Source organism: Homo sapiens, chromosome 8, assembly GCF_000001405.40.
Source record: "Homo sapiens chromosome 8, GRCh38.p14 Primary Assembly".
Classification (NCBI taxonomy): domain Eukaryota; kingdom Metazoa; phylum Chordata; class Mammalia; order Primates; family Hominidae; genus Homo; species Homo sapiens.
The window spans coordinates 129537920-129554160 of record NC_000008.11 but is presented as its reverse complement, the minus strand read 5'-3'; the positions used below and the strand labels follow the sequence as shown (position 1 = coordinate 129554160).

The 16241-nt window shown below is 39.8% G+C and overlaps 1 long non-coding RNA gene across 4 annotated transcripts in view, besides 3 other annotated features; it reads left to right on the top strand.

The window, feature by feature from the left end:
* The window catches only part of CCDC26 (CCDC26 long non-coding RNA), a 328546-nt gene that overhangs the window by 126079 nt on the left and 186226 nt on the right, over nucleotides 1-16241 (top strand). The gene's annotated exons all lie outside the window — the stretch shown is intronic.
* Nucleotides 1834-1893: an enhancer, noted in NCBI's record as "active region_27968". NCBI's record gives its function as "activates an Ori minimal core promoter by ATAC-STARR-seq in GM12878 lymphoblastoid cells {active_cell/tissue: GM12878}" and the evidence as "EXISTENCE:reporter gene assay evidence [ECO:0000049][PMID:35858748]".
* Nucleotides 5339-5458: an enhancer, noted in NCBI's record as "active region_27967". NCBI's record gives its function as "activates an Ori minimal core promoter by ATAC-STARR-seq in GM12878 lymphoblastoid cells {active_cell/tissue: GM12878}" and the evidence as "EXISTENCE:reporter gene assay evidence [ECO:0000049][PMID:35858748]".
* Nucleotides 5869-5918: a silencer, noted in NCBI's record as "silent region_19539". NCBI's record gives its function as "represses an Ori minimal core promoter by ATAC-STARR-seq in GM12878 lymphoblastoid cells {active_cell/tissue: GM12878}" and the evidence as "EXISTENCE:reporter gene assay evidence [ECO:0000049][PMID:35858748]".

Genomic DNA, 16241 nt, shown 5'->3' with positions numbered 1-16241 from the left:
CAGTCTTGATGTATCTACATCATCCCAGAGTAATTCACAGCACCCGCTTTTATTCTGAAAGATTTGTTCTGTCCTGTTTTCAGTGACAAATTATGTGGTCACCCTACCCTTGTCACATGGGATCTGGCCCCAGCTTGGGGGATACTTGTTCACTGTGTTTCTGGTTGTCAGCATGGGTGGAGAGATGACATCTGGTCAGAAGTCATTCTCTGGCAGTTCTATAAAGAATGATAAGTATTATTATTGTAGCAGTAGTATTATTGTGTTATGGCTATCATCATCTTGTATGGGGGATAAAGAATTTTGCTGATAAAAGGGCCTGTGGTGTAGAATCACCACTGCTATTATTTTGTTAAATATTTAATTTTTCCATAAGTTTTTGGGGGACAGGTGGCATTTGGTTACATGAGTAAATTCTTTAGTGGTGATTTGTGAGATTCTGGTGCACCCATCACCTGAGCAGTATACACTGCACCCACCCTATTTGTAGTCTTTTATCCCTCGCCCCCTCCCATCCTTCCCCCCAAGTCCCCAAAGTCCATTGTATTATTCTTATGGCTTTGTGTCCTCATAGCTTAGCTCCCACATATCAGTGAGAACATACAATGTTTGGTTTTCCATTCCTGAGTTACTTCACTTAGAATAATAGACTCCGATCTCATCCAGGTTGCTGCAAATGCTGTTAATTCATTCATTTTTATAGCTGAGTAGTATTCCATCATCCATATATATATATATATATATATACCACATTTTCTTTATTCACTCATTGATTGATGGGCATTTGGGTTGGTTCCATGATTTTGCAACTGTGGATTGTGCTGCTATAAACATGCATGTGCAAGTATCTTTTTTGTATAATGACTTCTTTTCCTCTGTGTAGATACCCAGTAGTGGGATTGCTGGATCAAATGGTACTTCTTATTTTAGTTCTTTAAGGAATCTCCACATGTTTTCCATAGTGGCTGTATTAGTTTACTAGAATCACCACAGTTAGAACAGGTAGAATCATGTTAGTCAGGGTGTTTTACTTTGCTACAGGAGGAAAGGAAACAATTTTTGCATGCCTACTCTAAGCCCAGCTTTGTGCTTGACATTCCCTATGCCTTTCAGTTCAACAGTGTTTTAAAATCTGAATTTCCAGACTAGGTTTTTCTCCTCTTGGTTGTAGATATGGCTTCAGCATTTCTTAACTGGGTGATACCAGGAAGATCACTGAACCCTGTGAACCTCAATCTTCTAATTTGGAGGAGGGAGCCCAAATGCAATTGAGGTGATCAGGGGGTAAGCTGAGAATGTGATTGTAATTAAGGAAAGCTATAACTGTACTACTTCTCTTGTTATTTAAAGAAAGACTGTTTACAGATAGGCTTTGAGATAATGCCACTGAGACATCACTGCTACTACCAACATGGCTGTTTCATGACCTCGTGTAAGAAGACTTCTCACGCCGTCCCTGTTCATGAATCATAACCAGAGGTAGGGTCTTGACCACAGAGGCTGATAACACCATTGGACTCTGGTTTTGCATTCTGGATTCGGAAGCTGGTGAGAGTGAGAAGTGGTTTTTCTGCTGGCTGATCTGTTTTTGCCTTGTCTTCTCTCTCTAGCACATGACAGGATCTGGCAGAGGTAGTGGTCAGGGGAGTATGATGGAGGAAGTAACCTTTTCTCTCATTGGGGAGATTTCCTGCATTGAAACATGAAGTGCAACTTCACATAGCTGGGCCGTAGCTGGCCGGCAAAGGGCAGTGTGTCGGCAAACAAAAGTGTTCTTATTTTTTTGTCAATGAAAATTCAGTAAACCTCAGGAAGAGATGACAGTACTTCTCCCACTTCGTTCACATGAATAATAATAAACTCCATTGTAGAGCAAGCCTTAGGGCATTATCTGATGCTGCTATTTCTGCTGGCCAGAATTTGCACATCTCTCACATGACTCAGGGTTGTACGGCCTCTTTCCCAGTGGGTGACTGACTGTTTAGCATTCTGCAGATTCTCAGCTTTGCTCTGGATATTCAGCCACTCAGAATGAGCATAGCCACATGGGACTCAACCCTTCTGACGTGGGAAATAGTTCCAGGGGGCATTTAGGTTACAATGGGCTTTTCTTATGGTTTTTAAATATCCAATGGCTTTTTGGTAAATGAAATTCACACACACACACACACACACACACACACTCCTCAGTGATTAGAATTTCCAATAAATCAGAATTTATAAACACAGTTTTGTAGGGTGAAGGGAAAGTAGCAATGTTTGAGGTCTATAGCATGCAATAGACCTTATGCTAGATACTTCCCATAGACTACATTGTTAACTCTTCCCTGCATGTTTCAAAGTAGGTGTTATCATCCTTTTTTGCATTGATGTAAAATTGAGGTTCAGAATGGGTAAATTATTGGCCTAAGATTACCACAGATAAAAAGGATGGGTAGGAAGGAAACACAAATTGAATATCAACTGCATGGCAGGCACAATGCTAGGCTTCTTATATGTATTTCCTCTCTGAATCCACACAAGTTTATGAGGTAAGCATTATTATCTTACGGATAAAAATATCAGAGTTCAGAGAGTAACTAGAGTTGTCTCCTGTCACAGTGGAATACAGTGGATTAGAGCAATGGTTGTGTGCACATCACCATGGTTATGATTCCACTTTTAGGAGCCAGAGGCCATTCATAAACAAACAGGCTTATCTCAAGATATGATCAAAGAAAGAAGCCAGCCAGAGCTGACTTTGCACAAGCTCCCGTGCCCATGTAAAACAAACAAACAAACAGAAAACAAAAAACTTGTGTTCAATCATTTCTTTACTTCCTTGGAAAACTGTGAAGGCATACTGTGTACATAGCATTGTAGAGGGTACTAGCGTTCCAAACAAAGATTTTAGTGCATGTGTAACAAAACAAGATGTATATGTGTTCATTATACTGAGAGAAGTCAGCGAAGTAATGCCATTTTAGAAGCACTTCAGAAACAGATTGACTGCATAGGAGTTGTTGGTTAACAAAACTATACTTGACAATATCCTCCACACTCTGTAAGCATTTCAGTAATAGACATTTAAATATATGTACTTGGAAAACTTTCTTTTCTTAACAACAACAGGTGAATTTCCAAATATAAAATGTAGACCTTTTTATTTCTTAAAAATGTTACCATCCATCAAACATTAACTGAGTCAAGACCATGCTGTACATATTATCTCTAATTTTTATCGTAACTCTACAGCATTATTTTCTACACATTCCAAGAGTGGAACCTGAGACTGAGGAGATTAAGCAACTTCAAATTTCAAGTCTTACTTGATGAATAACTGATGGAGCCAAGAGGGTGAATTCAGGTCTGTTTCAGAATTTGTGTGCTCTGTGCTTCTGTGGTCTGCTTATATATGCACGAGTAAAGCTTACTCCTCAGCTCGGATTTTGGAACCTTCTAATTGGGCTTTGCTTTAAAACTCATGAAGCACTTTGCAATAGTCTCAAATATTAGCCCTAGAATTTGGGGGCCTTGTTATTACTCTTCTAGGGCCTAGTGACCTATATTTTATTTATAATTTTAGGTTGTGTTCTCACTAAAAAATGTAACTGTGTACCTTCTCCACCTACACTTTCCCTTCTTCTGCAAGAACATGGAGTGCCTAACATATAGTAGGTGCTCAGGAAGTGTTTGTTGAGTGTAATGAGTTCTTTGCTTCACTGCTTTGTGTTTTTGTCTAAGAGAAGACTAGAAACAGCCACCAAGAAGGGAAGAACACTCATGATAGCAAGATGTGGCAATTAACTGGAAGGAAACAGAAACATAAAAACTATAAAAAGTAGACATAAGATTTCAAAAGCATGAAAGTTGGGTTATTCAAGGTTGGGGCCAATAACCCTGGACATGCCAATAATCTTAGTAAAGTTCTTCCTAACCTTTGTCACAGTATGGCAGTCATGGAAGAGCTGCTATTTGTTCAGTACACTAGGACAAATAGAAGAGGTTGCTCTCTGCAGAGTTCACTATCCTTGGGCTCTGGCCAGCTCAGCCCTATCCAGCCTCCCTGAGTACTAAGTGGATCAACATCTTGGCACAGCTGTCCCATGTGTCCCAACACATTGGTTAGGAAGCACCGTATTAGATAGTGCCACAAAACTACACAATAAGGGGCAATGTCTTTCACTTCTGCACCTCTAGTGCTTGTCATCACTCAGTGGCCCTCAAATATTCTAAATTGAATATACTTGAATACACTAATTGTTGAATTAAATGAAATGATGACCGCATTTTTCAGAAAAGACAATATTTCGCATGGCTTTTTTCAAGAAGATAAAGTAATGTATAGTAATGCATGTTAGAAATATTTTCAGATGAAAGCTAAAGAGAGAGTTTCTCAGTGTGGGGGATTAACACAATGTTTCTCAGGTAGTCAGTGGTAGAACAAGAAGAAGGCACATTTCTTTTTTTCCAGGTAAATGGCACACTGCAGTAATTTTGCTTGGGAGGTTCATATCGAGTGACCAAAGCTGCCAGCTGCTTACAGTAGGTAGACCACCATAAGTAGTGTGCCATGCAGACATCCAGAGTTTATTTCTGTGTGCTAAGAAATGGAAAGGCGTAGTCAATGAGCATTGTACACTGCATGATCTGGATTCTATTTTAGATTTGTGATGATCAGATGCTATTTTGTGATTATGTTCATTTTTAACCTAAAAACTTTGAAATGGATATTTCCAATGTCAAAATTAGAGGAGACTTATGTAGTTGTGTGTATGTGTGGTTTCTGTGTTGGAGAGTGACTTGGAAACCATAGCGAACTGATGATAGCAGCCGTTATGATTTGACTAGTCTGGCATGAATTTTTCCCAAAGATATGCAACGCCGATCATCCGAAGACTACTTACTTACCAGAAAAAAATAAAAGATAAAAAAAAAAAAAAAAAGAAGAAAAATAATGCTCTTGAAGGGGAGAGCTAAAGCAAACCTGTAAGGGCTTTTTATGGCCCAAATTTTCTTCTGCAAGAGGCACCTTCTTAAAAGTGATACAGGAGGGCTGAGGTTCTGTTTTTTTCTATTTTCTTTATAACTGTACTCATGGGAAGTTGCAAAAGCTGAACAGAAAGTATGAAATCTGGAAGTTTAAAAAAAGGCACAAAACCTCCCCAAAGTGGCCCCAAAATGACTGATACTGAGAAACAAGGACATTTTGCACATTTTTAACTGTGTCATATCCAACTCATTTGGTTGATTTTCTGTGTTTTTGTTTGTTTGTTTGTTTTTGTACTCATGTAGGATATTAAGAAAGCCTATAGATTATTGCTTAGGCCACTTCCTCACAGACTCTTTCAGTATCATGAGAATTCTTCTTGTTGTTTATCATTAATAAAAAAGTTCCAGAAATACCACCTTAAACAGAGCAAGTCACGTGGACGTTGGATCTGATATGCAGGACATACTGGCAGATGTAATTGAGCAAGGTTCAAGACAATGCCACTCCGGTACAAGTCATAACCATATCCAGATCTGGTTTGTATAGGTGACTGAGATAACCTCAGCCTCATCTCAGGAAGTGGCCACTTTTGGAGAGTCCGACTATCACGGTAGGCACAGAACTCTGCCATGTCACTAGCTGAATGACCTCGGATGTCACTTCAACTCTGAGCCTTAGAACTTGTCAACTGCAAAGTGGGGCACTTCACCGAGCTACATCATTGAGCTACTTCACTGAGCTACTTCATTGAATTGGGAAAATTAAAGGAGCAAATATGGGAGAAGGATTTGGCCCATAGTAAACACTATGACTGTCCGTCTTCTGCCATCTTTCAGTAGACCCAGTGGAATTATATGAAGGTTGATAGGCACTTAAACCAAGAATATATGAACATCTATTCTGTGCAAGATGTGTGCATTGAACTCAGTCCAGGACTGAAGGGGACAGGAGGAAGGTAAGGGGGCTCACATTTGTTCATTACATGTGTTAGGCTCTGTGCATGATCATCTTATATATGTCATATTTAATTCTCGCAATAATCCTATGGAGTGGGAATTATCACACAAGTACTCATCCCCCTTTATGGATTAAGAAACAGAGATTCAGGGAGTTTCTTACCTTTCTAAGGTCATTCAACTAAGTAAGTGCCAGCCTTGGGAAAGAAGTTTAGCTTTCCCTGTTGTTTCTCATGCAACTGAACAAGCTCATAATCTCAGACATGTATTTTAGGAAGTTCCCTGTAGAAGGACTGTACCTAATTGCTTTCATTTTTAACAATGGTTGGGTCATAGGTTTCCTGATGTGCTGATTAGCAGTATCTCTTTACTATCTGAAGACAGTGTTTGCCCCCCAGCCTTTCTGTTGTCAAGAGTAGGGAACTGCCTTTTGAAACCATTGTCCTGAGTGCAAGAGGGAGTGACAAAGAGATCATCAACTAAGGATCTCAGCTTTAAGTGTTCAGATTTGGCCAAATTATTTTTCTAGTTCTCCAAGTCCTACCTCATTTTCACACCTTTATGTCTTTGTATGAGCTGTTTACCTGATTTTACAAAGCCTAACTCACCCTTCTAGATCCTGCTGGACTTTCATGTCAAGGCTGTCTTTACTCCAAGGTAGAATGAAGTGCTCCCTTATTTTTCATATGTCTCAGCAGCTATTGCAATGTAGTATGCTTAACTGGCTTCCCATTCAGCTCCACTAAACTGGGAGCTTCCTGAAGGTATACACTGTGTCTTACTCATCTTTGCATCTACTATTCACTGTATGGCACACATATAATTTTGTGTATTAATGCTAGTAAATCAATGAATCAAAGACAACTAGCCTTGGCCTCTGCATTTATGTGGCATATCTGAGAGCCACATTTGCTAACAATTTGTGCCCACTTTTCAGACATTTGCCTGTTCTCAGCACCCTCAATTTTACTCTTCTATAGTCAGAGCAATCTTAGAATAGCTCTAATTGATGACCATTTTGGTCCAAACTCTACCTTGACTGTTGATTTCTATTCTCTGCCTGGGACTCTTGAAGATTTCTATTTAATTGGTTTGGGCACTTGCCTCGCACAGTGAATTGTTTAAATATAACCAGCACAATACAAGACGCTTAGGCTGCAGCTCTGAAATCAGTATATGAGGAAGAGACACACATGCGTGCAAAAGAGAGAAACCATTCATGAGTGCTGGGGGTGGGGGAAGGGAGAGCAGTTGAAAAGCATGTGAAAGCCACTTCCTTTTCTCATGTGAGTAGAAACTCCAGCAGAACTTATCAGAACCATTCATCTATATGATCATTCATTCATCTGTTTATTCATTCATTCATCTTGGATAGCCCAGATTATTGCAAGAGCCCCTCAGTGATCCCTCTCCCTCTCTTCTGGCCCCTGCTCAGACCATATTCGCAGCACTGAACATGACCTTTCTCTGGTTCTCTGTTATTCACAAGATAAAGGGCAAGCTCCTTAGCATGGCATCCAAGAACACTGATCTAGTCTCTGGCTGGCTACTAGTCCCCCTTGTCTCTTACAGCCTGACTTGTGCACCTCTCTAAGCTCCAGCAACAATGGACTCTTAGGAATACCACTGAAATGCAGTTTGTGTTGCCTCTGTCCTTTTCTGTATGCTGTTCCCTATATTTTCTCTAGATATTTTCCTATTCTTCTCCTATTTAGTTTTGAAAACTCAGCTCAACCATATCTCTACTGTAAGGCTTTCCATGAGACTACCAATCTAAAAGAGGTATGAGATTTTTCTTCATCACAGTGTTGTAGGCATATACCTATCATAGCTCTGACTGTAATATACTGAACCTGTTTGTCCTTCATCTTTCTCTCCACTGGTCTGTGAATTTCTCATAGTCAAGGCCCATTTATTATTCTTCACAAAACAGGTCCTGACATACAGTAGATGCTAAATAAATAGACATGGAATGAGCACATTACTCGGAGGCTGCATGCTAAGAGTTTAAATGTTACCCTGAATCCAAACACAGTCATTCACAGGTTTTAAGCAGGGGTGGTGGCAGGATTGGGTTTGTGCTCAGAGATAGAATGGAAAATGATTGGAGATGGAATGGATAATGAATGGGGTTGGGCAACACTGGAGGCAAAGAGACCAACCTACCTTGTCACCCTCACCTCACCCCCCCAACCATTCATTGCTACTTCACCCACCCCAGAAAGTCTCTACCTCATGAACTTTTACATTCCCTCAAGACATAGCTAAAACATCTTGTTTCAGGAACTGTCTCTGATCTGCTTCCTTCATACTTTGTAATATTCTCAATGGTAATATACTATGTTCAATATTTATTGAGCATTTTATTATATGCTGAGCATTTTACACTCAAAAAATTAATCATCACAGTAACCCAATGAGGCAATGTTATTAACCTTCTTTTACAGTTAGGGCAATTGAGGCTCAGAAAGCTTAAGCCACTTGCCCAAATTATTCACCTAGAAATGGTAGATGAGACATGAAGTCAAGTCTGACTTAGAGCCACTGCTTTTACCTATGATGGTATCTGTATCATGGTTTCTTTCTGTGCTCCTACCTCATGTTACAACATGATACCTGATAGAAACTCTTGGATTTAATTTAGTTCTACATTTCTAACCAGTATGTTTGTTGGATGGAAGCATCTAGAGGCCTTAGAATTGTTTGTTGTGTTTTCTTTCGTCTTCTTGGCAATGCTGCTGACTTTGTTTCTTTTCCTGTGTGTCTCCAGAGTCTTTCATGATTTTAATTCTTTCTAGTTTTCAGTTGTACAGGATCACTTTTGCCCCTTCTTTTAAAATGTTATTATTATTATTATTATTATTATTATTATTATTGAGATGGAGTCTTGCTCTGTCACTGAGGCTGGAGTGCAGTGGTGCGATCTTGCCTCAATGCAGCCTCTGCCTCCCAGGTTCAGGCAATTCTTCTGCCTCAGCCTCCCAAGTAGCTGGGATTACAGGCACCTGCCACCATGCTGGCTAATTTTTGTATTTTTAGTAGAGATGGGGTTCCGCCATGTTGGCCAGGCTGGTTTCAAACTCCTGACCTCAAGTGATCCACCCACCTCGGCCTCCCAAACTGCTGGGATTACAAGCATGAGCCACTGTGCCCGGCCTTCTTTTTCTAAAATTTTGATTTGAAGTCTAGTTCATCAGTTTGCCTGCCCAGCTGTTGTCCTTGTCATTGATGAGATGGTGACTTTCCCTTCCAGGAACCCATTTTTTCTGACATGATTAGCAGTGATCTTCACTGCAAAGCCCAGTTACCAGTATCATTTTGATAGCAGGTCCACACTTTGCAAATGTTCCTTTCCCTAAAAGGTCATGATCTTCAACAAGAAGAGAGCAAAGTATCATCTGGGCCAGCAAGTCCTTTAATTTTTACCTGGGGTTGGATGGAACTTGTATTATGATATAATCTCGATAAGCCTGGGCTCAAACTGTGTCTCTACTGCTTCTGTAAAACAGGAGCACCAATGCCTGCTTTCCTGGGTTGTGGGGAGGGTTCACTATGGTAATAAGTATGAAAGCTACTTGCTCAGTCCCTGTCTCATAGCCTCTAATAAGGACTAAGGATGCTTTCTCACCATAAAGTCAACTTCAGAGGTCCATGTAGCTGTTTACCTTGTGTGAACTAGCTCAGTTGAGTAGAAACTGGTAGGCTTGATGGTGATTCAGGTAAAACTGATTTTCTCAGTTTCTCCTGGGATTTTTTTCTATTCCTATTCCATATAAGAACAATTTATTCTAAGACAGAGATTTGAGATTCTGTTTTTGGAATGAAAAAGGCTGGATTTGAGTTTTGGCTTGCTTACTCACTAGCTGTGCAACCCTATGCAAGGTACGTAAACTCTCTAAACTCTAATTTTCTTATTTGTAAAATAGGAACAATAGTAGTAGCTGCCTCATAGGGTGTTTATAATTCATGAGAGAATGTGCATACACTTAGCACATTGTGTGGCCCATAAGAAGCACTCATGGCTGGGTGCAATGGCTGCTGTAATCCCAGCACTTTGGGAGGCCATGGCAGGAGGATTGCTTGAGCCCAGGAATTCAAGACCAGCCTGAGCAACATGGAGAAACCCCATCTCTACCAAAAATACAAAAATTAGCCTGGTGTGGTGGCATGCATCTGTAGTCCCAGCTACTTGAGAGGCTGAGGTGGGAGGATCATCTGAGCCCAGGAAGTTGAGGCTGTGGTGAGTGGTGATCATGCCACTGCACTCCAGCCTGGATGACAGAGTAAGACTCTGTCTAATAAAAAAGAAGCATTGCTAATTCATTCATCCATTCATTGAGAACGTATTGAATATCTGCAATATGCCAGGCACTGCATGTCAGTCTTTACCATAATATCCAAGGTTACGTATTACGTAAATAGGAGAGCCAAGACTGTCAGATACTGGACTTCCCAAGCCCCATACTCTTTACCCAATGATGACTTTGAAAATAGATATTTTTGGGAAATTTATGACTTTTCACTAGTATTAGAGTTTTTGGTGCACTCTCTTCACTCAAACCTTTCTTTACATCTAAGTCTTTTATAGCCTCCATAATACTTCCAAATACACTCAAAGTTCAGGCTGGGTAAATACTCACAGAATGAATGAATTTGGTAAGCAAACCAATATTGAGTCTACATAGAAATTGTATATTCTTTACCGATTCCTACCCTCTATCTGACCATTGATATTTTTCTAATTATTCATTTTTACATTGAGGTTGATTTTTTTTCAAGCATTTCTCATAATTACCCAAATCCTACCAAGAATTCTTATTGCTTTCCAGGCTATGATGTTCAAACCACACTTTGCATGCCACGCATTTGAATGTTCAGTGGCTTAGGTTGGTGACAAGCCTAATTTTCACAATGTTCATTTCTGTCTCATTCATTGCTTTTGACAGGAGCCAGGCTTGCCACATCACACTTGGCCTGTCAGAAAGGTTGAAGAAACTTCCCCAGACCCAAATATTTGGTGGCTGAGTTGGTGTCCCTTTGCCTTACAAAACCTTTAATTGAAGGCAACACATGGATTCTAACTTGTTTAAAATGTCTCCAAGTCCTGGCATGCACTGAATCAAACCCGAGGCCCCAAGAGCTATCATCCACACAGAAACACAGCATTAGAGGGACCGGAGCTCAGGGTGGGGAGCCCTATAAGAATGTAGAGGTCTGTAAAATGGTTCCAATTCATTCTATGAGGTTTGGCAAAAGCCGGAACTCTTGTAGCCAGACACGTTCTGCATGAAGTTTAAATTGTCTTGACATTGGGGTAGGAGAAGTCCTCGCTCTCAGGGTCTACTAATTCATGATTCACTCATTAGGATTGTGTTTTGTGTAAAGTGTCCAAGATATCTAATGATTCCTGCTGAAATATTGTGAATGCTTTGCTTTCCCAATCTCGTCCCTTTACATACTTGGGCAAGATTAAATGGCTTTAGAATCTAGTACATCTTGATTTGTATTTAGGCCATGAAAGCCAAATCATATGACAAGATATAAACTTGGTGAGATCTATTCCCCTCACTCTTTAAAATGACTGACATTACAACCTATTCTATCTATTCAATTGAGTCTTTTAGTTAGGCTCAGATATCTTGTGCAGTGAAAATCTCAAAAACATTTTCCTTTTAGAAACTGTTCACATAGTGTCAACAAAACACTGTTCTCAACTTCAGGCCTTCATGTTTTCAGGGACATACGTTATGCAGCGGGACATATCTTATCTTGCTGAGCAACCCATTATGTCTCCAATGACCCCCTTTGGAAAGTTGGGAGTTATTCTTAACTCCTCCTTCTCAACATCCAATCAATCTCTCAGACATGAAGATTTCACTTTGTTCATATTGCTTGATTGCCCCCTACTTCTCCTAAGCTTATAGCTTATGCCCTTGCTATTCCTCGTGTAGAATATTGTCGTGGCTAGCTGACCAGTCTCTCTGCTTACAGTCTTGCCCTCTTTCATTCCATCCACCAGTCAGCAGTCATAATGATCTATCTAAAGAATGCATTTAATCATGTCATCCAGTTGCTTAAATATTCTCAATGGTCCCCTCTGTCCTTAGGATAATATCACAAATAACAAGCACAATGTATAAGGTCCAGTGCATCCTGGTCTTTGCTTTCCTTTTACTCTAGACTGGCTTTTTACAATCTCTTCTTCACTCTGTGACCTGCCATATTGAACTCTGGGCTGTACTGAAGACAAACCATTATGCCTTTAAGGTGATTCTTTTTTCTGTCATGAATGTTTCATTGACTTTGTCCTCTACCAGCCTTACTCATCCCTTAGGACTTTGCTTAGTGCCACTTCTTCCAGGAACTCCCCACTAAATCTGGATTGTAAGCTCCTACTCTGTGCTTCTGTAGCAACTTGGACTTAACATCTATCACAGCACTTATATGGTATTGTAAATACCTATTTCTTTTTTGATATAAGCCCTTAGTCTATAAATTTTCTGAAGACTGGGACCATGTTATGGTCACTTTTGTATTTCCAGGGTCCTAGAATGGGCTTCAGGGGAAGAATAATTTATTCTCTCTCTTTACTCCCCTTGCTGTGTCTGTTCAAATTATACCAGATGAATTCCCTTTTATGAACACACTAAGTTGGATTTATTTCATGACTCTGTCATTGTTTTTGATGTTTTTTTAGCTAGAAGTGTCTTTTCCCCTCCTCTTCTTTCTCCATTTGAGTTTATCTAGGGCTAATCACATAATTTGTTAAATGTTTTATTTTACATAATTTATTATAATCAGACCAGTTAAGACAACTCTAAACATCAGATGTAAGATGGAAATAGCATTGTTTATACAGAAGGAAACATATCAGAAAGAACACTGAAATGGGAGTCAGGAGTCCAGAGCCCTGGTCACAGCTGTATTGATGACTTGCTATGTGACCTTAAGCAAAGCAACTATAATCTCTAGACTTTACTTCCTTGTCTTGGCATAAGGAGGGATTGGATTAGATGATCTTTACGGATCCTGCCATGATAATTCCCTATAAATTGTGTTTTCGAGATAGGAAAACAATAGGACCTTTGTGGAAAGACCTGTGTATGCTGAAACAGTCCAAAGCAATGAGTTGAATATCCAAATAAAAATTTGCCGCTAAATCCCTTTATTTGTCATTGCTTTGGCACTCTATGCACCATGACAAACTTCATCTCAGCAGTGACTTCTATAGTCCCTGAGTTCACCTGGATTAAGCAGACTTTGGTTTTAGGCAAAAGTAAACATGATTTCTAGTCCCACCTTCATCACTTATTTACTAAGTGACCTTAATCAAGGTCTTTTTCTCTAAGCTTTGGCTTCTTACTCTATAAACTAAGTGTTAAGGACGTGTACGTCTTAAGGCTGATGAAAGGATTGGATTTAAGATGATGTCTGTAAAACACTTTAGCAGAGTTTACATAGTAATTGGTAGTTATGATGGTGATGGTGGTAGTGATGCTGATGATAATAATGCTATAACTTGGTGCAAATAATTTGCCATAAGATAAAAGAAAGAGGATTAAAAGATAAGATATTTAAAATAGTTGCGTTTGCATGGTGAGTATTAAAAAATATTGTTGGGCCCGGCGTGGTGGCTCACACCTGTAATCCCAGCACTTTGGGAGGCCGAGGCGGGTGGATCACCTGAGGTCAGGAGCTCAAGACCAGCCTGGTCAACATGGTGAAACCCCATCTCCCTAAAATTACAAAAATTAGCTGGGCATGGCGGTACAGGCCTGTAGGCCCAGTTACTCAGGAGGCTAAGGCAGGAGAATCACTTGAACCCAGGAGGCAGAGGTTGCAGTGAGCCAGGAATGCGCCATTGCACTCCAGCCTGGGCGACAAGAGTGAGACTCCATATCAAAAAAAAGTTTGATTGAAATGGTGCATTGCACCTAGCAGGAACTCAAGGAGAATTTGCTCAATAAGCAGGAGGGAGGATTTCCCTTCTATGTGGATAATGAAAACACAGTCCTGAGATTTAAGTCTGGCTGTTTGAAAGATTTGGAAGCAATGCCTCTCTGGTGGAGATGTGTTTTGTTCTTAGTAAAATAAGGGTCCAAGGAGTTACTTTAATTTGTCCTTTGGGAAATATTTTAAACCCTAGATTTTACCACACAAATTAGCTCTTTCTCAGGCTTTGTGTTTCAAACACAAACAAAACAAAGTCTCTTTAATTTTCAACATTTGTATCCTTTTCAACTAAAGTACAATAATAGAATTATTATAAAAGTCTATTTGTTACCTAAAGTTATGTCAGTAAAGTGACATGCATTTCTAAGCCTTGAAGAATCTTCTTGTTGAGTTAATCTTTCTTTGGGGAACGAACAACAGCTAAAGGAACTGGTCAAGTGTGGTAAAAGTGCTATGTTTTCTTAAAACAGGGGGCTTTAAAAAGAAGGAAAAGAGAGAAATGTATGACCTCTTGTATTTGTAATAACCTTGTGTAGCTTTATATATCTCCTCATTCATTCCTCCCTTCAACTATGGAAAAGCCATATACACCTCTGTGGAGCACCTGCCATGTGCCAAACACTAGTGGGAAGCTTCCATTCAGTATCTCTAATCCTTAACAATACTGTAAAACCTATATAATAATTTTTATTTTAATATGAGGAAGTGGGTGCTCACAGAGGGTAAGTGATTTATCTGAGGTGATGGATATGAAATTTAATGTTGGATCTGTTTGTTCCTAAAGTCCATTCTTTTTTCCCGTCTACCTCACAGATCCTTAGCTGGGAGCTAGGCCTTATCTGCTTTGCTTAAGTTCACAAGCAGGTAACTCTGAGGAGTTCAAGAGTACCAGGCATGCAATGAGGAAGTGGCTCTGCTGAGACCACCTCTAGATACAGGGTTGCCCACAGCATGGCTGCCTCCTGCTTGTGGATGGGTGAAATGGCCTCAAATCCTTCTGCAGACAGAGTAGGAGGAAAGTCAGCACCCTGATGGAAATGAGGAATTGGGAATTATTTAATGTTGGCTTGCTCACAATATAGTCTCACTCTGTAACAGACTGATTGCCTATACAGAGGCCTCATCACATACTCTTGAACATGTTGGAGAGATAGGATCTGAAATATGGCCCCAGTGATTCATTTAAGAATGCTGGACTTGGTAGAATCCAGGATAACATCATTTCTTATTTAACAAACATTGTTGATCTCCTACTATGTGCCAGGCAGTGTGCTGTGCACTGGGCATACCCAAAGGGGTTCATAGTTTGTAGCAGTAGTTCTTAACCCTGACTGCTACTAGAATTATTTGGGGAGTTTTGAAAAAATAGCAGTGTTTAGGTCTCACTCCCAGAATTTCTTAATTAATTGGGCAAGAAGGGGGCTTGGACATCAGTATTCTTGCATAATTCTATGTGCACCCAGAGGTGAGAGGCACTGGTGTAGAGGTAACGAGATCAAGAAATAACGTGAGAAATGAAGGAAGTTGAGAAGCACTTACCGGGCAAAGCAGTGTTTCCCAGACATCAGTCAGTGATGTGTCACATGCATGGCTTTTGGTATAGCCACACATCAATTGTGCTATTACTTACATAACAGATTTCTTTTAAACTCTCATCCAAAAAATAACTTAATCTCTTTAAATAGGAAACTTTACATACTCACCATAATTTGAAAAGCAGTACCACTTGCCATCAATGAAAGATAAAGCATAAAAATTAGCAAAGTAGAGAAAACAGTATCTATACTTCGTATTTAATATTTTGAGAAACATTAGGAAAGAGGGCAGAAAGTGGGATTTGGAGGAGATGGGCCTGGATGAATATTCTAGTTCTACTATTAATTAGCTGATTTCTCATAAGTGACCTAGCCTCTCTCAACATCATTTTAAAAAAAATGTATACACTGAAGTTAATAACACCTGCCACGTAGTGTTTTTATGCTAAGTAAAAGAGATCATTCTGAGAAAGTGCCTAGCTCAGTGCTGGGCACATAGTAGATGCTCTTGAAATCATAGCTTGTTTTTTTTTTTGTACTAACTAGTCTTTGCTGTTGAAAACTTATGACTAGAAGTATGTACACTATCCTTTGGGGGCTAACTTTTCAAGGGTTGTGGAGAGCTGTGAAAGTCAAAGTTTGACTTGACCAAAGACTTAAATAGTGAGTAAAAGTGCTCCAGGTGGATGGGGTATGAAGGATATGATGCAGTGAGAAGAGATATTATGGCTCTTTCTCTAAAACTGGCTTCATTTAAAACCAAGCTGGAGAGTACCATCAGTGATTACTCAATGTTTCCTATTTATGTGTGTAGATACTGAGTGT